This window comes from Homo sapiens, chromosome 1 (genome assembly GCF_000001405.40).
Source record: "Homo sapiens chromosome 1, GRCh38.p14 Primary Assembly".
In the NCBI taxonomy this organism is placed as follows: Eukaryota; Metazoa; Chordata; class Mammalia; order Primates; family Hominidae; genus Homo; species Homo sapiens.
This window is the reverse complement of record NC_000001.11, coordinates 166,946,626-166,968,594: the sequence shown is the minus strand read 5'-3', so window position 1 is coordinate 166,968,594 and position 21,969 is coordinate 166,946,626. Positions and strand designations below refer to the sequence as shown.

General features: G+C 41.5%; 1 protein-coding gene and 1 long non-coding RNA gene across 17 annotated transcripts in view, besides 2 other annotated features; one reads left to right on the top strand and one right to left on the bottom strand.

The window, feature by feature from the left end:
- The window catches only part of ILDR2 (immunoglobulin like domain containing receptor 2), a 79,845-nt gene that overhangs the window by 6,946 nt on the left and 50,930 nt on the right, over window positions 1-21,969 (top strand). For all 15 annotated transcript variants that reach the window (NR_199384.1, NR_199383.1, NM_001438641.1 and 12 more), the window contains exons 2-3: window positions 10,494-10,826; window positions 11,743-11,862. Coding sequence is in view for 13 of the 15 variants with exons in the window: in NM_001438641.1 (NP_001425570.1) it covers window positions 10,494-10,826; window positions 11,743-11,862 (453 nt within the window). In the remaining 2 variants the exon portion in view is untranslated. The remainder of the gene's footprint in view (window positions 1-10,493; window positions 10,827-11,742; window positions 11,863-21,969) is intronic.
- LOC124904449 (uncharacterized) overlaps window positions 1-21,969 on the bottom strand; it is a 45,878-nt gene that overhangs the window by 4,454 nt on the left and 19,455 nt on the right. Inside the window, exons 1-2 of one of the 2 annotated variants that reach the window (XR_007066715.1) lie at window positions 20,753-20,840; window positions 20,436-20,640 (exon numbers count right to left, since the gene is read on the bottom strand). The exons of the other annotated variant lie outside the window; for it this stretch is intronic. This is a non-coding gene — a long non-coding RNA (uncharacterized LOC124904449). Of the gene's footprint in view, window positions 1-20,435; window positions 20,641-20,752; window positions 20,841-21,969 lie in introns of those variants that run through there. 2 annotated transcript variants of the gene reach the window in all.
- Window positions 18,109-18,403: a silencer, noted in NCBI's record as "tiled region #1052; HepG2 Repressive non-DNase unmatched - State 24:Quies". NCBI's record gives its function as "represses a minimal TATA promoter and a strong SV40 promoter by Sharpr-MPRA in HepG2 cells {active_cell/tissue: HepG2}" and the evidence as "EXISTENCE:reporter gene assay evidence [ECO:0000049][PMID:27701403]".
- Window positions 20,901-20,950: a silencer, noted in NCBI's record as "silent region_1515". NCBI's record gives its function as "represses an Ori minimal core promoter by ATAC-STARR-seq in GM12878 lymphoblastoid cells {active_cell/tissue: GM12878}" and the evidence as "EXISTENCE:reporter gene assay evidence [ECO:0000049][PMID:35858748]".

The window sequence follows — 21,969 nt, the reverse complement described above, 5'->3', positions numbered from 1 at the left end:
ATGCAAGGATGGGAAGGAAACAAATCATTGGGAATAAATACTATAATCTGTCAACTGGGTTAAATTATTCAACACATGTATGGAGTACTTACCATGTATCAGTCTTTAGAAGTCTGCAGAGGGAGCTTTTTATTAGTGGGGGAGATAGATGGTTAAATAAGAAATTCTCAGGGAAAGTGATGTGATTCTTTGGGGTACTGTGACTGCTGTAAGAACAGGAAGAAGCTTCTAGAGGCAGTGATAGCTGAGCAAGTCCTGAAGGATAAGTAGGAGTTGGCCAGAGAAGAGTGGGATGGGGGAAGGAGAATCTGCAGAGAGAACAGCCTGTGCAAAGGCCAAGAATCAGGGGAGGGCATGATGTTTTCTGAAAACTGAAATACTTTAGTATGGTTAGAGTATTTAGTACTGTAGGAAGAATGGAAGGTAATGGCCCCATCTGAAAGGAGCTTTTGTGCTCCTGAAGGCTAGAGGGAATATTTTAAGAATGAGAGCAAGACAGTGGCACAATCAGATGTGCATTTTAGAAATATCATGTGAGCCTCAGTGTGGAGAGTAGATTAGACATGGACAAGGCTTGTAGCAGAAATCAACTAGGGGACACTTGCAGAAAGCATGGCGAGACACAATGAGATCCTCAACTCACATGGCACAGTGAGGATGAGAGAATTGGACAGAGTGACCAGAGGTGGAGCACATAGGACTGACTTAGATGGATGTGGTGGTTGAAGGGGAGAGAGTGTCAAAGTGCCTCCAAGTTTCTGGCTGGGGACTGCTGGAGATGCCATTCATCAACATGAACTAACACAAGAGGAGAAATGTGTTTTGTTTTGTTTTGTTTTGAGACAGAGTCCCACTCTGTCACCCAGGCTGGAGTGCAGTGGCATGATCTCAGCTCACTGCAGCCTCTGCCTCCCAGATCAAGCAGTTCTTGTACCTCAGCCTCCCAAGAAGCTGGGACTACAGGCACACATCACCATGCTCGGCTAATTTTTGTATTTTTAGTAGAGACAGGGTTTCGCCATGTTGGCCAGGCTGGTATCGAACTCCTAGCCTGAAACAATCTGCCTGCCTCGGCCTCCCAAAGTGCTGGGATTATAGGTGTGAGCCACCGCATCCAGCCAGGAGAAATATGTTAAGGAAAGAAGATGAAGTTTCCCCTCCCTCCCTTCCCCCTCCGTTTCTACCTTCCTACTGTCCTTCCTTCCCATTTAAAGTATAGCCTAAGCTGCTATAACTAAGAAATCCTAAAATATTGTAACCCACACAAAAGAGTGTATTTCTCTCTCCTGTAAGAGTCCAAATCTGTGGGGATAAGCCTACCGTTTCCAACATGCAGCTTCCGAGACTGCTCATAGCCATTTCTCAGCAGGAAGGGGCAAGAAAAGCAGAGTTCCAGGGCAAGCCACTTGTTTTGAGAGAAGTGGCCCAGACGTTACACACATCGCTTCTCCTAACATACCTTTGTCCTGAGCCTAGTCACATGGCCACACTTAGCTAAAAGAGAGGCTAGGAAATATATACTACTTGGCTGGCCAAATTAAACCTGGGAATTTCTATTACTGAAAGGAAGAAGGAGATGGTTAGTGTCTCCATCTACAGATGGATGAGTTTGAGGTGCTTGCATAACATCCTGATAGACAGTGAAGTTGTATATTTGATTCTGGAGCTTAGGAAAGAGATCTAGACAGGAGATACAGATAACAAGTTGGTAAAGGCTGATAAGAGCTTTGTTAGAGGAGTTTTTTCCTGTCTAAGTGGCTGTTCCATCCCAGAAGTCTGACCCACTTGGAAACCAAGACAGTTTTCAAAGTACCTCCACATTGCAGGGTAAAGACTGACCTCTTTTAGCACTGCTTTGTCCCATTGGAACTGCGTGTAAGCCAGCTAGACAACACCTATGAACTCATTTCAGATCTGTGGAAGATGAGGCAAATGAGACAGAAAGAAAATGTTTCTAGCTTTTACCTACGCAGTGATGGCAGAGTACAAGAAAGGATGGCACACTTGGACACAGAGAAAATATGCTTGATGAATAGCAAGATTTGTGTAAACAAACACCAGAGTTATTGGCAGCAAATAATAACTATGCCATGAGCAAAAATCCACCTGGGCAGTGGCAGCACTGGTATTTACCATGGCTCTTTGGAAAAGAGTGACATATTGCTGCTTTTGAGACTCTTGGGGGGAAAACATACGAAAACACTATCATGTTTTTAAAAATTTCAAGATGGTACATCTGGTTACCCTAATCCTAAAGTGGATTGAGCAATCAGGTATATCATGGTAACAACAAGAAACTGATTCTGGCCAAATTAAGCAGGAAAGGACTTTATTGGAAAGAAGTTGATTAACTCACAGAATCATTGGCAAAGCTGGAGAATGAGGCTCAGAAAATAGGCAGATTCCAAGGCAATGTCTACTATTCTTGGTAAAGCCTTTTTATTTTAGTTTTTTAGGTTTTTTTTTAACACAAGTTTATCAAGGCGATGAATAGTTCCTATTTCGAGAAGAAAAAAAGATTCAAGCTGCATCTTCTTTGTCTTTATACTTTTAGCCTTGTCTTTAAATATTTCCCAAAATGTTTTATTCTCATCCCGACAATGCTACTAAGGGCTGAACAAGCTTTCTTTCCTTGTCTGAATTATGACCAAACTCAGAGGAGATGTTTACTCATCTCCCTATTCATCTCCTACACTTAAAAAACCTGCCCATTGGTTGTTCCTAAAAAGTATCTTAGGAAATTGGGACAACATGTTAAAACTGTAAAAACAAAAGATGAATGTCTTAAAGAATACCTAAGTTGACCAGCTTGGCCAACATGGTGAAACCCCACCTCTACTAAAAAAAAAAAAAAATTAGCTGGGCATGGTGGCACGCACCTGTAGTCCCAGCTACGTGGGAGGCTGATGCAGGAGAAACACTTGAACCCAGGAGACAGAGGTTGCAGTGAGCCAAGGTGGTGCCACTGCACTCCAGCCTGGGTGACAGAGAGAGACCCTGTCAAAAAAAAAACAAAAAAAAAAACAAAACCTAACTTGAAGGCAGGCAAAGAAAGATTTGTACAGGTTGGGCATTGCTAATCTGAAAATTTGAAATCCAAAATGCTCCAAAATATGAAACTTTACGGGTGCCTACATAATGCCAAAAGTGGAAAATTCTGTACCTGATATATTTGCTTTCTGATTGTTCAATGTACACAAACTTTGTTTCATATACAAAATTATTAAAAATATTATATAAAATTACCCTCAGGCTATGTGTATAAAGTATATATGAAACATAAATGAATTTTCTGTTTAGATTTGGGTCCCATCCCCAAGATACCTCTTCATATGTATGCAAATATTGCAAAATCCAAAAAAATCTGAAATCTGAAACACTACTGGTCCCAAGCATTTCAGATAAGGGATACTCAAACTATATTGTTATACTGAATGAAGAAAGAATCTGAAGGCCAAGGTATGCTGAGGAATGGGCAATTCTGAGGTCAAATCCTGCTTTTGGTACTCAAAGAGTTAAGGGGTGGGTGAGCATTATACAATATTTCTAAAGATGCCTGTCTCTAATGATGATAATTTTCCATGACCTTTAGCAGCAATCTTTGTTTCTCTAAAATGGGGCTATGCTTATAGATCTGCCTCCCAAAGATGCTGGCAGGAATAGCTTACAACTAGTGGGGGAAAGGAACTTGCTTTGAAAAAAATGAAAGTGCTAAAAATAAGAATAGCATTGCCTTAGAGTCTGTGTTTGTTATTCTTGCAAGAACACAGTTCATCATATATAGAATCTTTTTCTTTACATGAGAATTGGGGCAGGACCTTTTTTTGCACATGCAGCGAGACATTGTCTGCACTTGAAGCTGATCTTCCCTAGCCTGGTGACTGGTGACGAGGTACCTACACCTGGAGATTAGCTGAGATGGGGGCTGAGATGGGGGAGAAGAGCTGTCACTCTTCACTCTACCTTTAGGCAGGTTTCCTAGTTATTGGCCAGAATCCATTCTCTGAGCTGGGGACCACCTGCTAAGAAAGGCCCCTCAGACTCACAGGTTCGGTTTTCATTCATTCATTAATTCATTCCACATTTTTTAGCTTCACCTATATTCTTTGCCTTTGCTGTATACTAGGGATACAAAGTCAACCAAATCCTGGCCCCTGCCCTCAGGGACCTTATAGTTAGAAATGAACTTTATATTGAATTTCTCAAGATGAGGGACTGGTCTTTTAAATCTGTTTTGCCAGAACTTAGCGTAGTGTTTCAAAATACATTTTTGGTCGAATTAAAATTAGATAGTCAAGGGTGGTTTTCCTGGAGGTCAGGGCACCAAAACAGTTAAAAGAATAGTCTGGTGGTCTAAGAATGATGACTCCCTCCTCTGCAAAGCAGAAAACCACCTGTGGTCTTCAATTCTAGTGCTTCTTTTAGTGAGGAATTCTTAAATTTTTTTTTTTTTTTATTTTTAGATTTAGAAGGTCTAATTTTTACAGGTATACTCTCTCCAGTATAATTCTTTACCTTGCTTCACTTCTTTTCCTCTCTTGCTCTCTCTCCTAAGGTGCCTCTCTCTAGTTTTCCAGAATACCTGCTTTAGTTTATAGGGTGAAGCACAGGTTCTTTCTGCACCTCTGTAAATTTCTTTATAGGAGTTTGAAACTCAAGTCCCATATGGTGTTACCAGTGCCTGGACTTGGAGGCCCAGCCTTCCTGTTGTACCAGCGTGTGCTTGTTTACGTGTGGGCAAGACCCTTTTTCAGTGCTTCTCTATGTCTGCCTCCCAGGAACTCCTTCAGTTACATGGCCTGATATTTGCCCAGGAGGAGGGGATAACATACTTATAGTCAAAGGGTTGGAAATATTTCAGTATGGCTGGAGCATACTGGGGGCCATGTCAAGGAGAAAGTTTTATATGCCATGTTGGGGTATTTCAATTTTGTCCTGGAGGGAATGGGGAATCGATGGAGGCCTTAAAGCAGGAACTGACATGATTGATGTGTGTTTTAAAAACGGTATTCTAGAAAAATATGGAGAGTGGATTGGGTTGGAAGTAGGAAGACCATTTAGTTGGCTATTCTCAAACCCAGGTGGTGGTGAGGACCTGTGTGAAATGATGGTGAAGATCTTTGGAGCCAGTCAGTCTAGGTTCAAACCTAAACTGTCACCTGCTAACCTTGAAATGTTAGGCAAGATACATACATACATACATTATCTGAGCATCAGTCTCTTCGTCTATAAAACAGGTGTAATAACAATGCCTACTTTATAGGATTTTGAGAGAATTCATTAGGATACTACATGAAAAGTGCTTAGCACAATCCCTGACACACAGTAAGCATTTTACAGCTATTTTCTAGTAGCAGAAATAGAAACTTGATTTAAGGGAGTGACAGTGGGAATAGAGAAAGATCAAAGTTGAGAGATATTTAGACTTAGCGACCAACTGAATGTGGTCAGGGACAGAGAGGAAATTATCAAAACTAAGATTTCTATCTAGGGCAATAGATTAAGTGGTATTTTGGCAAAAGAGCAAGGGATAGAGAAAGGATGAGTTTATAAAAAAAGAGCTAGGGTGGGAAAAGAGGAGACGATGAATGAGGTTTAGACATGTTTAATTTAAAGTGTTTGTTAAATATGCAGATGAGGCTTAAGGGAGTTGGGGGTGTGAGACATAACTGGTAGTTGGAGCCTTGGGAGTAAATCAGATTTCTTAGATCAAATGCACAGCTTATCACTACAAAGAGGCTGAAAATGTTTAATTTATCTGGAATTCAAATGTATAGTTACATATTCTTATTAGCCTGTATAGACTCCAGCATAAGAAGTACTTGTTCTTGGTACCTGGTTTTTGGCATCTGACAAGTAGGAAAATTGAAAAACGAAAACAAAACTCTAAGAGGTAGGACCCCAGCTCAGGATACTCCCCTACTCCCAGGGCAGACCTCTCGGGAATGGGAGCCAGAGAGAGGGTATCTCCAGGTCAAACTTCAGTGTCCACAGGAGACTGGCAATCCTAGTCCCCACCCAAATTAGCTACCAGTTCTGAGGGGCCTGATCTATGTGGGTCCCATGAGAGGTATTTTTTGAAGTTGGATGGATGGCAGCATCACAGTTTCAGATTTGGATCAGCCATGCATGAAGGTATAGGAAACAATACCCAACCCTCAGGAGAAGGGGCTGGTATTAGGGCCCCAGACAAGCAGGCCAGAGTTCAGGGCAAGGGTTCTCAGACCCAGTGGAGCAACTGGATTGCAAATCAGGATACCAAGGTGGAAAAACAGTCTCTAAATAAGGTAAACACAGGTTGAGAGAAAGAGATGCTGCCCAGTTGTATAGGACACCTAGACACCAGGGATCCAGGGTTAGGGCCAGAAGAGCAATTCTAGACCCTACCCTCCAGTGGGAATGGGGGTCCCGATAAACTTGGTCAGGGCAGTTTGGGGACTGGATGGCATTCATCTAACAGTTTGAAACCTGTAGTGTGGAAGCAGGGATTGGCATTTTTACTTTTATCTCCAACACTTCACTCTGTGGTTCTCAAAGATCCAATAAACTCACATTTACTTGGAATTCTAGTCCTGTCTTCTCCAGATCTACCTTTAGCTTAGAGTCCCATTGTGCCTGTACATGTATACATGTGTATGCATGTGTGCATACACGTGCAGGGTTACTCTCTACTTCTGAGTTCCAGGAGGTGCATAAGTGATGTGCAGTGAGGAGCATACCCAGGCACTGTCACTATTGAACTCCTAATGATGTATTCTAGCATTCTTGTGCAGTTTTTGCCCTGTACACACTCGGCATCTGACACCTTGATCTCTGTACTTGCGTAGCTCTAGGTTTGTAGCTTCACAGAAGTCATCAGACTGCTCTTGATAGCCTCAGCAACATTAGCAACTACATTTATTGAATGCTCACTGTATACCAGGTATTATTCTAAATACTTAGGATACAATCTTACTTAACCCTCAAACAACTCCATAAGGTAGTTACTATTATTCTGGTTTTGCCAGCGAGGAAACTGAAACTCATCAGAGTTGAGTAGTTTGCTTGAGGTCATGTAGAACCTGGATTCTTACTTAGGACTGACTGCAAAATCCATGCCTTTAAGTATCATGCTATAAAAAGGCAGATGTTTCTGAGAATGTATTTTTTATTTTTATTTTTTTGGAGCATGAGTTTATGTTTATGTCATAGAAGCTGAGAATTGACCAACCTCTATTAATAATTGATTAAGAGAGTCCAGTGGCTTGCTCAAGTGGCTAATCTCATTAACAGAGAACAGAGCTTGGAAGGAGGCTATTCTTAGTAATTATCTAATGAACAAAACCCCAAACTTCCTCTCTAAAAAAATAAATAAATCTCACTACACTTTTGTAGAGCACCCACCTGGGTGATGAAATGGTCTGTACACCAAACCACTGCAACACACAATTTACCCATGTAACAGACCTGCACATGTACTCCTTGAACCTAAAACAAAAGTTGGAAAGAAGAAAAAAAGAAAGGCTAAGAAATGTGATTTCCCAAGCAGTGCCAGAATAGCAGTGGAGCAGAAAAGGGGTGTGGTCAAGCACACAGCCTTGTATGGGAATGGTGCCTGTGAGTGGTTATCCAGCCTCAACCACTGCTAATTGAAGTCATTTCACCTCTCTTGTCCCATTCTTATTACCTGAAAAATTGAGGTGTAACTATTTGAAGAATAATTACAAGGTTAAAAAATTAATGCGCTAGAATTTAAGGAGAAACTATAAAGAAATTTATTTTCCTAATCTAGCTTCATAAGTGAGGGAGAATGGAATTAGCCACATCAACATTTAGTGGTGGTGAAGGGAAGCATGGGAACTAGGGTTCTTCAATGAGCTTCCAGATGGAATTGTTTGCCTTTTGATGGGGCTGATCTACATAATCTGGATGTAATCAAGCCTGGTGGTGATGTATGGTTATCAAGATTCAGGATGGGAGGTGAGGGGAAAGTTTGGCAAGGTGAGGGAGAATTAGCATTTGAGACCTACTCTTTACCGGTCACAGTGCTCTTCTACTGAGTCTCCTCTCTGAAGGTGCCCAATGAAAGAATGTTTGTTAACAACTCTGAGAGTAAGCATTATGGTGCTCATTCTATAGGTGAGGAAAATGAGTCTCAGATTGCTTAAGAAACCATCATTAGTGTATGGTCAGATGAGATTCAAAGCCATTCCTATTTGATGCCAACACTATTTTACTACACTTCTGACTCATTTAACTAGTTTCATCTGCAAAGTCCTAGAAATTCCCATATTAATAGCCATTCACTTGCTCATACATTTCTTCATTTATTCTGTAGGTAGCTATTGAGCACAGGGTAGGTCCAAAATGCTTTGAGATTTGATAAATCTCAAATACTCTGTTGTATTCGCTTCCAGATGTTACAGAATGCAGAAACCCTTTTCCCCAACAGGAATTAGGACCTACTTTTTCATTGTTCCTTTCATTGAATAGAGACATTGGTCTGGATGTCAGAAGATATGAGTACAAACATGTATCTTGCCCTTGTCAAGGGTCCTTCAGTAAAGAGGCATATTCATAAATAAGTTTATGCTTTAGCTGTGGGAGTGAATTGGCTTTGCAGGATGTCATTGTGAACACTGGCACTAATAAAGGACAGGACTCCATGGAAAGTAGTCCTTTTTTGCATGTCTCTGCCCCAAGCTACTTGAAGCTGACTTAGCAGTCTCCTGGATTCAATTTGGAACTTCTTTATCATATCTTCATATTCGTTTTTTCTGCCTCTCATCATATTTCTATTTCTGCTTCTAACCTCACATCAAGCTAGAAACTCTTGACTCTCCCATTCAACTGAGAAAGTTATGTTCCCTTTGCTTGGAATTTCTAGATCTTATCATTGAGTTCATGTGGGACCTTTGCTTCTCAAACACTCCCCTCGTCTCTCATTCACTGAAATTTCTCATTCTTTCTTGGTCACCAAGCATCAGGTTGGATCTTTTTACCACTTAAACTTCTCATCTGCTTTTTAGCCCCCACTTTTTTTCCTTCTTTTGATTATCCTTCAAAGCTTTGAACTTAGTCTACTGCATTTGATCTGAAATCCTCCATTTCTCTCAAAGACTTATTTTCCTTTTCATCTCTGTCCCCTTTGCTGGGTCACCACTGGAAGGGAAGTCACTTCCTCCTGAAGTGATACTTCCTGGCTTCATTGTCATTATTTATCAAATATTTGTTGAGTACCTATGGGCTTCACAAGCCAGGGCAGCAAGGGAAGATACCTTCCACACCTGACGAGTCTGACAGGCCTGACAGGCATGAAAAGAAGTACTCGGAAGACTGTGAGAGTAAATGTTTAGAAGAAAATGCTGGGTGTACTGATAGCACAAAGGAGGAAGTGATAAACTTATTGGTCAGAGAAGGCTTTACAAGAAGCCCTTGAACTGGGTTTTAAAAGATGCAAAAAGTTGCCCAAGCAAAGAAGTGAGGAAAAAGCATCCCAGAAACAGGAGACATCATGTGCAAAGACCTGGAGGCATGAAACAGGATATCCCACTGGGGAAGCTATTAGTTGTTTGATATTCTTGGAGCTTGGTGCTCAAAGAGAGGTGTTTCAAGAGGTGAGAGGTGAGGCTGAGGCGGTAAGAGGAACTAGATGACGGAGTACCTTGCCAAGGACTTTGGGTTTTATCCTGAGGGCTATGGAGGATGAGTGAAGGGTCTTAAGAAAGAGAGCCATAACAATCAGTTTAGAAAGATCATCTGAACTGTAGCAAGAAGAGTGTACTGGATGTTGACAGATTAAAGGCAGGGAGACCAAACAAAAGATTATTGTAATATTTTGAGGAGGAAATGAAGAGAGTCTAAGGAAAGGCAATAGTAATGGGGTTAAAGAGGAGGGAAGAAATATTAAAGATGTTAAGAGATTAAGTTGATGTGACTTAATGCGTGACTGGATATAGGGAGTGAGGTTGTATTGGTCCGCTCTCACACTGCTATAAAGAACTGTCTGAGACTGGGTAATTTGTGAAGAAAGGAGGTTTAATTGACTCACAGTTCCACAGGTTTAACAGGAGGCATGACTGAGAAGACTCAGGAAACTTACAATCATGGTGGAAGGCAAAGGGGAAACAAGCACCTTCTTCACATGGCAGCAGGAGAGAAAGAGAGTGAAGGGGGAAGTACCACACACTTTTAAACCATCAGATCTCGTGAGAACTCACTCCCTACCACGAGAACAGCACAGGGGAAACCCACCCCCATAATCCAGTGACCTCCCATCAGGCCACTCTTCCAATTTGATGTGAGATTTGGGCAGGGACACAAATCCAAACTGTATTAGAGGGCATATTTCTGCACAAAGCAACCAGATGGATATTAATGCCATTAATTATAATTGTGAAAATGAGGTTGAGGGGACACAAGTTAGGGAAGTGAAATGGAAAGGTGTGATCATGTGATGGAAGGTGAGGTCCAGGATATGGACACTGTTCGGACATGTTTATTCTGTTTTGCAGCCATGGTCGAAGGCCTTCAGGTCACAGTGCCCGACAAGAAGAAGGTGGCCATGCTCTTCCAGCCCACTGTGCTTCGCTGCCACTTCTCAACATCCTCCCATCAGCCTGCAGTTGTGCAGTGGAAGTTCAAGTCCTACTGCCAGGATCGCATGGGAGAATCCTTGGGCATGTCCTCTACCCGGGCCCAATCTCTCAGCAAGAGAAACCTGGAATGGGACCCCTACTTGGATTGTTTGGACAGCAGGAGGACTGTTCGAGTAGTAGCTTCAAAACAGGGCTCGACTGTCACCCTGGGAGATTTCTACAGGGGCAGAGAGATCACGATTGTTCATGGTAATAATGCCCCTATTTTGAATCTAGGAAATGGGAGGGAGGTTAGTTTCATTCTTCCCTTCCCTTATGTCAATATGGTGATATTCTAGCCTCTCACCCTTTCAGACCCTCAAGACTTTTATTTTATTGGAAATGGGAGCATCAAGAGACCTATCATTGCCCTAACGGGATGGTGAGGGGGAAAAGGGTGGATCGTGTAAAATCTCCTGAAGACATACAGATGAACTTTGGAAAGAGTCTTTCCAGAGCCCAGCATCAAGCCTCAGGAGCTTGTTTTTAGAGCTGAATTGACACGGGTTTTAGGGGAAAAACTTCTTCAGCCAAACATCCTATACCTTGACATCAGCCTTTAGGGTCCTTTCCCAAATGTGGAAAGCAGACTTTTTTGCTGGGAGAAGGGACGTATGCATACAAATAACAGAGCCAGGTAGATGCTTGGCCCAAGCCCCAGGTGGCTTTGCATCAATTCCACCCTTTCTCTTGCTCTCTAAAGCTCTGGACCTCAAAAGGTCCCAAGAGTCCGATATGATCTATTCGATTATTTGAATTTTGAAGAACTCCTGTGATTTTAGCTTATTTCCATGAGTTCAGAATAATTCTGGCATTTTCCTGGCTCTTAGGGGCCTCTGCAGGCCTGGTTCAAAGCCATCTCCTACTCCTGAAACTGCACTAGAACTAGACTGGTTTCTGACAGGCTCTAATTGTCCTTCCTTAGAGATGCTAGTTTCTGTTATGGTTCTGTTGGTCTTGTTTGTTTGTTTTAAGCAAAGCACACATCTTTCAACCACCATCCAGATAAAGAAAGAAAATACTGCAGATACCCCAGAAGGTTTCTCCCTTCCCAACCCCCATTGTTTAGTGTTTTTCTTTCAGAGGACAGAGTTTTAGGACTGAGTCCTTCTTTTTGTGATAACAGATGCAGATCTTCAAATTGGAAAGCTTATGTGGGGAGACAGCGGACTCTATTACTGTATTATCACCACCCCAGATGACCTGGAGGGGAAAAATGAGGACTCAGTGGAACTGCTGGTGTTGGGTAAGTGAAAACAACAGGTGACATTTTCATCTTAGACCACTTGCACTTGCACTGTATCCTATCCCTCTTCTCACTTCTCCCCTGTGTGCATTAGCAGGTTGCATACACAGTCTTATCTTTCATGCACACTCCCTTTTAGAATATGCTCTTTATGAGCAGTAGCTGTACTTATTATGTCTTACTTCTTGAAAGCTATGACCCCCCCGCCCCCACCTTTTATCATTGTCCTGAATATTTCTTCTGCTTTCTTCATTTTTTTCTCTCCTTTCTACTTTCACCTTTAACCTTGATTTCTCTCTTTGTCTTGTTATATGCTAATTTTGAAGAAAATGCTAGAGGCCTTTGAAGCAAGGTAGAGATTACACAGATAAGAATTCACTGATGTGTCAGAACCTCTGGAGACATCAGGAATCTTTTCCCACTGGATTATCTCCACTTAAAACAATCATAAGAAAAGACAGCTGTAAACTAGAGAGTTTGGTAATAAAAGATGCCCAATAAAAAGAGCTGCTTGGGAGATGTACTAGTGTTTAATTGGAAGCCAGATATCTTGAAACCTGAAAGTGTCCAAGTTATGCTCAAAGCAAATACATCTAATCCTTATTAATATTAATCTCCTCATAAATGAAAACTCATTATTTTTGGCTACTTTCCTTTTTTGTGGATTGGAGGAATGTCAGTGGGAGCTGACCTCTGTATGAAACTGAAAATTGAGCACATATTTTGTGCTCTATTAATGTTGTTTGAACAAGAAAATTAGAACATACAGAAATAAGAAAAGAAACTGCATAATTGTAGGGAAAAAGGTAGTTCAGGATATACACCTAAAGCCATTTTCAAAAGAAATTACATTTTTATAGCTTCCAAGAAACCAGGTGATAGCAATTTGGAGTAATTTGTAAGGGTGCCTCCTATTAAAAGTAAATGAGGTTGAAGGTAGATTTGTACCCTATATAAAAATTGTAGAGAAACTCAATCCCTAGGGAGAAAGTGGCAGTTGTTATTTAGGATTTTTAGTTTTAGTCTTTATCATGATTGTGTGACTTTGGCAAAACAACTATTCTGATGCCTTAGCATTATGTTTTGTTATTGTTTTATTTTTAAAAATTATTTTATTTGATTTTATTTTTGAGACAGAGTCTCACTCTGTCGCCCAGGATGGATTGCAGTGGCTCAATCTCAGCTCATTGCAACCTCTGCCTCTCAGGTTCAAGTGACTCTCGTGCCTCCAAGTAGCTGGGACTACAGGCGTGTACCACCATGCCCTGATAAGTTTTTGTATTTTTTAGTAGAGACAGGGTTTTGCTATGTTGGCCAGGCTGGTATCCAACTCCTGTCCTCAAGTGATCTGCCCACCCTGGCCTCCCAAAAGTGCTGGGATTACAGGTGTGAGCCACCTCGCCCACCCAGCCTCATAATATTTTGTAAATTGGATTAAGGTGATAATGGTCTGCCTTATTAGAAGGTTGACTTAATTCAAACAAAGTCTTTGGGTCCAATATATAAAGTGTAACTTGTGACTTGTAAAAGAATGGAAATATGACTGATATTCAGCAGGAAATGAAAAAGTAAAAGGCTTATATTGACATTGTAAAGAACATAGGGAGATCAGATCTGGGATCTGCTGTGACTCTATAAATCAAAAAGGAATAAAAAGACACATTTTTGCTTAATCACAACCCTAATAGCCAAGTTTGAAGGAACAAGTGGCTCATTGAGCCCACAATTAGCTAATTGTGAACATAGTTATTTGGCCAGGGCAGCCATTTGCAGAGAAGTAGTTGCCTGTGCAGGAAAAGGAGGCCAGGTAAAAACCACTTTAAATAATTTGGTCCCAGTTGTTCTGCAAACATGGGGAAATAAATAGAGTGAAAGCTTTGTCATCTGAGGATGTGTTGAAGTATATGAAGGGCATTCCTCTGGATCAAAACATGCAAAGCAACTTGGGCAAAAATGCTATTCTCAAGGAAAAAAAGGGCCAGCAGCAGAGAGGTGAGTAAAACAGAAGTTCAGATGACAGTAGTCGCCAATTATGGGAGGAAAGATGAAGAAAAAAAATCAGTATTACTCTAAAGGAATCATAAAGGAAAACTTACCAAGGCTGCAAATCCAAACTCGTTGCAGTAGAAGCAGCCTGTCTATGAAACAGAGACATGCTAGGGCTCTTGGTAGGGAAGAAACACATCATTCTGTTTTGTTCAACATTAGAGATGTTCAAAACATGATAAATTTGTCATGGAAACTTTTTAGGGCAACACTAGCTGTGTTACTTATTTAAAGGGGTTAGTTAGAAATCTACAAAAATTTTTCTGAGTCCATAAAGCACTGTATTTACTTTCCAAATACAAAATTCTGAGTCTTTTTTGTCTTCACATCCCTTTATACAATATTTCAAAATGCCATCACAGTTGTAAAATTTCTTATTTTGGGATTATTTCATCCTGCTGGCCTATTTGTTAAGTATTCTTTTTATGTGAGACCAGGAGAGCAAGCTGATTTCTGAGTTTATTTCTAAGGAGATGAAGACCTCTGTGAGAAGATAACTGGGACCCACAGTTTGCTAATTATAATGTTCATGAACCACTGGCTCAGTCATTGAATTTTATATGAGGAATGATTGGAGGATTTGGTCTAGCAAAAGTGGACTTGGAACAGTGAGCATGAGAAGTGTCTCCAAATATTTGAAGTGAAATTATATAGAAGAGAGAATGGAAACATACTCTGTCTGGCTAGATAAAATGGAATCAGGAGTGGAAGTAACAAAGGGAGGGAGTCTATCTCACTGTAAAAGAAGAGCTGGAGACATCTAACATTAACAACTGGAGACATCTAAAGATGGAATAAGTATTCTCAGAAATGAGTTCTATGTCCCTGGAGGTACTTATGCACAGGAAAAGGTATTCAGTTAAGTTACTTTTGAGCTTTATTTCTATTGTAAAGTTCTTGGTTTAAAAAGTAGATGAACATGATTGATGTGACTCCCTTGATGAATAAGAAAATGATCTCCCAGGAAATCAATCCTCATGACAGAGAAAAACAAAGTAACAGATTGGTTACAAGAACATGCAGGGTGATTGATGTTCATTCACAAGGAACCCAGAAGAATAAACTGTGGTCTTTTGCAGTAGGTCAGGGCTAAGAGGACTAATCCCTCAAGAGTGAAGAAAAAAACTATTGATGGTGGCTTGAAAGAGTCAACTGCTGTAGCTTTTCTTGGAGATGATCACAAAATGGGGAGCAGAAAACAGGTTGAAATTACAGAAGATTAATTAGTAAGAAAAGATGGGTTAAAGATGTAAATTAGAGGCAAAGTTAAGAAGAATTTGGTTTCTTCATTATACTCAGAAAGGTAAGGATGGAAAAGTTGATGGAGCAAGATTGTGAAGTATCTTATATGCAAGACTAAGAAGTTTGGACTAGATTCTGAAGACTTAGGAGAACCAGTGAAGAAATCTTAATAGAGGAATCGGATTAGATCTTAGGGTCAGAACAATTATTAGCAAGCAGGGTAGGTGAAGTTCCTGTTGACCCACTTTGGTCAGTTGTCCCCTGCTTAGCCTTTTGAGACCAGGGGCTCTTCATAGTTACTTTATCAAGACACAGAGAAGAATTAATTCTCCAAAGTAAATTAAGACACTGTTACATAAAAGAAGAATAGATGTGGGATGCCAAAAAAACAATATGTGTCTACCAGAGGATGCCATTACTACATCTAGCACTAATACTAATGTACACTGAAAATAAGTTGTAGTTTATAAAATTGTTCTGTAATAATCTTGTAGGAGGGCAGGTATTATTTTCCAAATGAAAAAAGTGATGTCTGTGTTTTATGCCTAATATCCTAGTTAAAAAAGTGTCATCGATCAAACTCAAGTGTTTTGATTCCTAGCCTTATCTCTTTCCACAATACCACATGACCTGTCTGTATGAAGAAGCTATAGAATAAGCTATGTTAAAAAAAAAATGTGGTTACTGCTTGAGGCCGTGGGTAATGTTTGTTACTTGTTCCAGGTTTGCTTCAGTATTTCACTTTATTTCTTAGTCAAACTGCCCACAACCATTGACCGAAGCTCTAACTTCAAAGGCATAGTTGTTATTGTCTAGATTGCATTCCTTCCCACTGAGCATGACTCACCCCTCCTTCCACCCTATACATCTGACCATCCACAAATCGCTATGGATGGCTCTTTCAGTGGTTTCAGAAATATCCAAAGATATGTGATTCACAGAAATGGGAGGACAACCACTGATTCAACATTAAACACAAAAACTATACTGAACACCCTTTAATGTCTTTTTGATGATTCAGAAGGTAAAGTCATTGTGAAGATGGAAATGCATAGTGTTTTGGTGCTTTAAGATGACAGTGACAGGTATCTTAGAAATATTTAGACAGTCATTTGGGATCATAGGGCCATACCAGCAGTCACAGAAGATGGGAGTGTCTAGAAATCTGCCATCCAAGATTAGAAATTTGTCTAGGATCCATGGTAAGGACAGGCTGTTTATAATCTGGAACCACGCCACTGTTTGGACAGGAATAAAGTTCCCTGGGGCATCTCCAGCTGGCAGGCAAAGGACTTCACCATTTCAGGAAGGCTCAAACAGGGAAGTTATTTTAAAATCTAAAAGCAGCTCTCCTTGTTCTTATGTCTTTCGATGTACAATCTGAGGGCTTGACCCCTTCTTTCTGATGTCCTATGTGGTAGCTTATTTTTTAAAGGCCTTTAATTAGAAAAAGGGGAAAAAGGCCTGGGAGGAAATGTGACTGGATGAACACCCCTGCCTATGGGCCAAGAATAGAATAAGAGGATATGAGGGAAGGGGTGTTTAGATTCATCCTAAGGAAGACATTCCTAATGGTAAATAACAATTTTTGGAAACTATGGATGGTTGAGGGAAATTATAAGAAACTCCTCTGATGAACTTTTAATATGGAACAGGTTCTCTTGTCGGGGATATTACGATAAACAAGATGGTTTTTTGGAATACTTTCTATGATTCTGGCTTTATTTAAAAGATCCATAGATGGCAGAATTAATTCCCTGTTGAGGGTGATACCTCAAATACTGCTGTTTTGTGTCATTTTAATATTGTTTCTGTTTTAGAAAAAAAGATACATGCTTATTGTAAAAATTTCAAACAAAACAGAAAAGTACAAAAGAAAGTATCTCCTAAAGATCTCACTATCCAAAGGTAACTGCTGTATTTTTCAGAACTCTTTTATTGTAAGGGATAGAGGCTCAAACTGGCTTAGGGGAACTCTGGTAACAGATAATTTGATTTACGTAACAGATAAATCCGGGGGTATTCCTAGCTTCAAGCATGGCTAAGTCCTGGTTTTCAGATTATGTGTTAAAGAATCTCTGTCTCCTCATCTCCATCTCCTGGCTCTGCACTCTCTGTGTTAGCATCATTTCCAGGCAGGATCTCTCTGCATGGGGCAGAGATGATGGCCCCCAGCAGATCCACCCTTCCATAGTCTTTAGCACCTTCCATCTCAAGAGGATAAAGTGCCTCTTTCCCCATAGTTTCAGTAAAAGTCCTGTTGTTGGGGGTGGCCTGTGTGTGAGAGGACTGTAGTATACCACCCAACCCCAACTGAACCTATGAACTGAAGGGAAAAGTGAAAAAGAGTAACTTCCTAAAGGAAACTCTGGCAATTTGTTTCCAAATGAAGAAAACAATGTCAGGCAGGCAAATAACAAACATGAACATTTTGGGGAATTCATCCATTTGTGCTTCTTTATGGTCCAAATGCAATGCTAATCCAGGAGGCCAGAAATAGGTATGCTCCCAGCAGGTCCTTGTGAGTAAGGCGCTCATTTGGGATTGATTCTTCCCCATGAATGTAAGCCCACAGAATTGCCTTTGTTTTCCTGTCACGCTCCTATTTTTTTCTTCTATCTCCTCCTGTGATTTAACCAGAAGTACAGTTATATTACATAGATAAGTGGTAAAGGAATGGGTAGGCGTGTGTGTGTGTGTGTGTGTGTGTGTGTGTGTATTTTAGATCAAATTATTCACAATACTGTGCCTGAAATTGTTATTCTGCTTTAAAATAAACTTCTCCATCCACTAGTATTAAAAAGCCATATAGTATAAAATCAGTGAATTCTTGGGAGGGGACGTCTCAGAATTTGCGATTGACTTTAGGGATGTTTAATGGGAGCATGTGTCTTAAGGCTATGCAGAAATGCCCCCACACCTACCCCTGTGTTACTGCTGCCTCAGTTTGAATCCTGTCCACCCCCTACCCCTGTGACTTTAGTTCAGTCTCTTCAGAAAGGCTACTTGTTGCCAATGTTTCCCCTCTCTCCTTCTCCTTCTCTTTGCCAGCCCCAGCCTGGTGCCGCTAACCAAGGAGATTTGACGATTAAAAGGGCCTCAGCTCCCAGAGTTCCCATGGCAACAGCCTCCTTGGAGGTCTTTGTTGCCTGCTAAAACTTTGATCTCTGAGAGTGGCTGCTGCTGTTTCTTTCTAAGATTTACAAACAGAGGAAGAGGGAAAAAGAATGAGGGAGAAGGAAGAAAAAGTTTACTCCTGGCAGAAGGGAGAAAAGGAATTAATTACAGAGCCACACTTTCGCCATAAATTTGGAGGCTACTTCTTTGGAACATCTTTTGACTTGAGCTGTACCTACATTTTCATTTGTAAACTCAATTATGCATCAGATATGCTTCAGATTATGCGTCAGTAGAGTTGATTCCCCAAAGAAAGCAGAATCATCCTTTCTATCATCAGCAGACACCTGTGCCTTCAGGTTTCCAGAACAGCTGAAATAACTCCATAGTTTTCCATGAGAGACAGAAAACAAATGAGGAGTGGCTTTTCAGGCCTCAGCCCCACTGCCTTTTCTCCCAGCACTCTCTCCTAGCTTTGGCCTGCTCTGCCCTGAGCTTACCTAGATGCCTCTGCTGGTCTTGTTTTTAAAAAGAACCAGAAAAAAAATGCATTGAAGGGATGGAGGAGAGGGAAGAGCCAGAAAAGTTAGCCAAGTGTCAGCTAGAATCTGATTCTGGTTAATGACTGCCAATAACATTCATTCTACTGAATGAAGAGTGGAGTAGGGCTTGTGGTTCCTTCAAAGATGTGGGATCATGCCTTTCATTCTTTGCAAGAAGCTTCCTTTGGCCTTCAGACCTTTCTACTCCATAATCTCAACCTTGCTCTTTGATAGGCACCATGGAGTGGAGTCAGTTTTGCTTCAAGTATGATTTGTATTTAAATTATGATTTTAAAAAATGATTATTTTTTGCATATTATATCCCTAGCACAGTGAGGATACAAAATAAAGAAATGACAGTGTCTTGTCTCTATAAAAATTACTGTCTTTTGGTGAAGATAAAAGATATATTTCTGAAGCAGTTAGAGAACAATACAAGAAGATATTAAAGCTGTATTTGGATATTAAATATGTAGGCCATTGATTCTCAAGAAGGGGCAATTGTTGCCTTTCCAGGAGATATTTGGCAATGTTTGGAGATAGTTTTTGGTTGTCACAACTTGTGGGATGCTGTGGCATCTAGTGGGTAGAGACTAGGGAGGCTGCTAAGCATTCTACAATATGCAAGGCAGCTCTCCCATTCCCCAAAGGAATTATCTGGCTCCAGATAGAAATAGTGCTGAGGCTGTGAAACTGATCTTGACCAAAGGTCTCTCTGGATATTGGATAAAGTCCACTGTGAACAGCAGAGGCTTCAGGGTCAGACAGCCCTGGACTCAGTGCAGCAATATGAACTTGGACAAGTCAACGTCTATGAGCATGGGTTTCCTTAGCTGAATAAATGGGGAGGGGTAATAAAATTTACACGGAAGACCTATTGTGAAGATTAAATGCACAAAGAACTTAGTAAATGTTAGCTTCCTTCTCCCACCCCTTACCACTCCCCACACCACATCGCCAGCGTTTCATCTCTAATCTGAGGGAACCCTCTTTAGGGAATTCTACATTTGGAGACTCCTGCTAAAGAGCTGATTTTCCTTTAGCCCATTCCACGGGCAGAGGCTTTAATGGCCATCTGTGAATTGGCAATCCTATTGCTAATAGATTCACATTTTCTCAATGACATCTGTACTGTATTTTGCCAGTGGTGACCCTAATCAGCCCAGTGGAAATCTTCCTGCTAGTGGGTTTGAAAGCATTCTGTCCCAGCATGCTATCTTTTGGTTGCTGTTGGAAGCCCCCATTTCTCAGTGGATGACCCTTAGTTAATTGCAGGGTGTTTACTGCCTAACCTAAATACAAGGATTAGGTCACACAGGCCAGGCCATTTGATGAAGTCTGGAGGGATCTGAAGAACACTGGACTTGGATTAGGATCTGGGTGAGCTTGGGAAGACTTTAGATAGGGTGACTTTACAACTTATCATCCAAACTAGGATACTCTTGAGAGTGAAAAGGGGGGACTTTTAATAATTTCTGGCAAGACAACAGGCATAAACCGGAACTGTCTAGGCCAACTGGTATGATGGTCACCCATCTTTAGCTGCTGACCACCTTGAAGGGTCTCCCATAGATTGAAGAGAACAGAAGATCCAGAGGGTTGGGGGGGAAATTAGTGTCGGCTCACCTCCACCTGCTGAACCCTGCTGCTATCTGGCATTTCGTTCCTGGGGACCTATGTATGTGCACGTACATCTCCATTCATCTAGGTACCTGAATCGAGCAGAGGGGCCCAGCAAAGAGGTGGGGGTTTGACGTAATAGTTGTTTTCTGAAAAAATTGCCCTAAGATTTTTGAACCATAAATGACGTCGTTCGCGGCCGTTCACTGCCCTGTGTTAAGAGAACAAATGCGGTCTTGCAGGCGCTATTTCCCCTTCCCTAAGCCCCCAGCCACCCCGGTCGCGCCCGCCGCCCCCTCCTCGCAGCCTTTATTCCGCCTCACTATTTTTGCTTCACTTGTTGCTCATCACTGTGGGAGGAAACTCGGCCTTCAATTAGCGCGCATTCCTGGCGGCCCGCGGTTACCGTGGTTACCCCGGGCAGGAGCCGGAGCAGCTGGGTCAGCCGCGCGCTGCATTGTAGTCGGGTGGACCCGCGCCGGCCCGAGCGGGGGAGGAAACGGGGGCTGGGGGCAGGCGCGAGAGTGGGTGGCACCGAGAAATTGGCTCAGCCCCTGGAAAGAAAGAATGGCAGCTCTTGAAAGCCGGGCAGGAGACAGTTGTCCCATTTTTCTCCAAAGCCAGCTGCCGCTATTCAGGCGTGCAGGCTTGCGTTCACACGGGGGCTGTGCCTCCGACTTTGCTGAATTGGCTTCCCATGAGAGGGTCTGGGAAAGGCCCCATGCCAACCCCTTCACACTAAGGGGGCTGGCCACGGAGGAAAGGGCAGGAACTCTGACAGTTTGAGACCTACCAAGTGTGTGCCCCTCTGTGTCTGCCTGAGACCGCCAGGGCCTTTTTTGGTTAAAGAAAGTGGCCATTCTTGCTATCTTTGTATCTGTGGCAGTCTGATGGATGGAGCACAGTGACTTCAAGACACCACACTGGGCTCCAAGAAACTCACTTTCCCCGTTCCATGACATCCCACGCTCCTCCACGGCATTTTAAAGTCAATCTAGCAGTCTTCTGCATTTCACCTCAGGCCAAGTCGACCATGTTATATTTCTAATAATATTTTGTATTTATTCGCTCTCTGGGGGTGGAGGTTGAATCACTATAGCACTTTGTGAAGTCAGATTACTTTGCAATCATTTTTGTTGTTTATTAGTTTGTAGCAGCATGGTGAATGCCTTTCAATTAGCCCATACTGTGTTATGATGTATTCAGTGATCATTTTTTCCGGTTGCAACTTTAAAAGGTGCTGAAAATTTCAGTTATCTCCAACATTTCCTACATCCAAAAATTGTATTTTAATTACATAAGTAGAGCAGTAGTGCCAAAAACATGAACACATTTCAGGGTCATTCACTACAAATATTAGGAGACTAGAAGGCAGTTGGTGCACATTTCTAGATGAAAGATAAGCAAAGTTTTGGGGTGGTGAGATATTGGGAAAAAAACTGGAATTGGGGTGAGTACACCTGGTTGTATTCTTGGCTTGATCATTAGTGAATTGTGTGACTTGGGGTAAGATTCTTAACCTCTCAGAGCCTCAGATCCC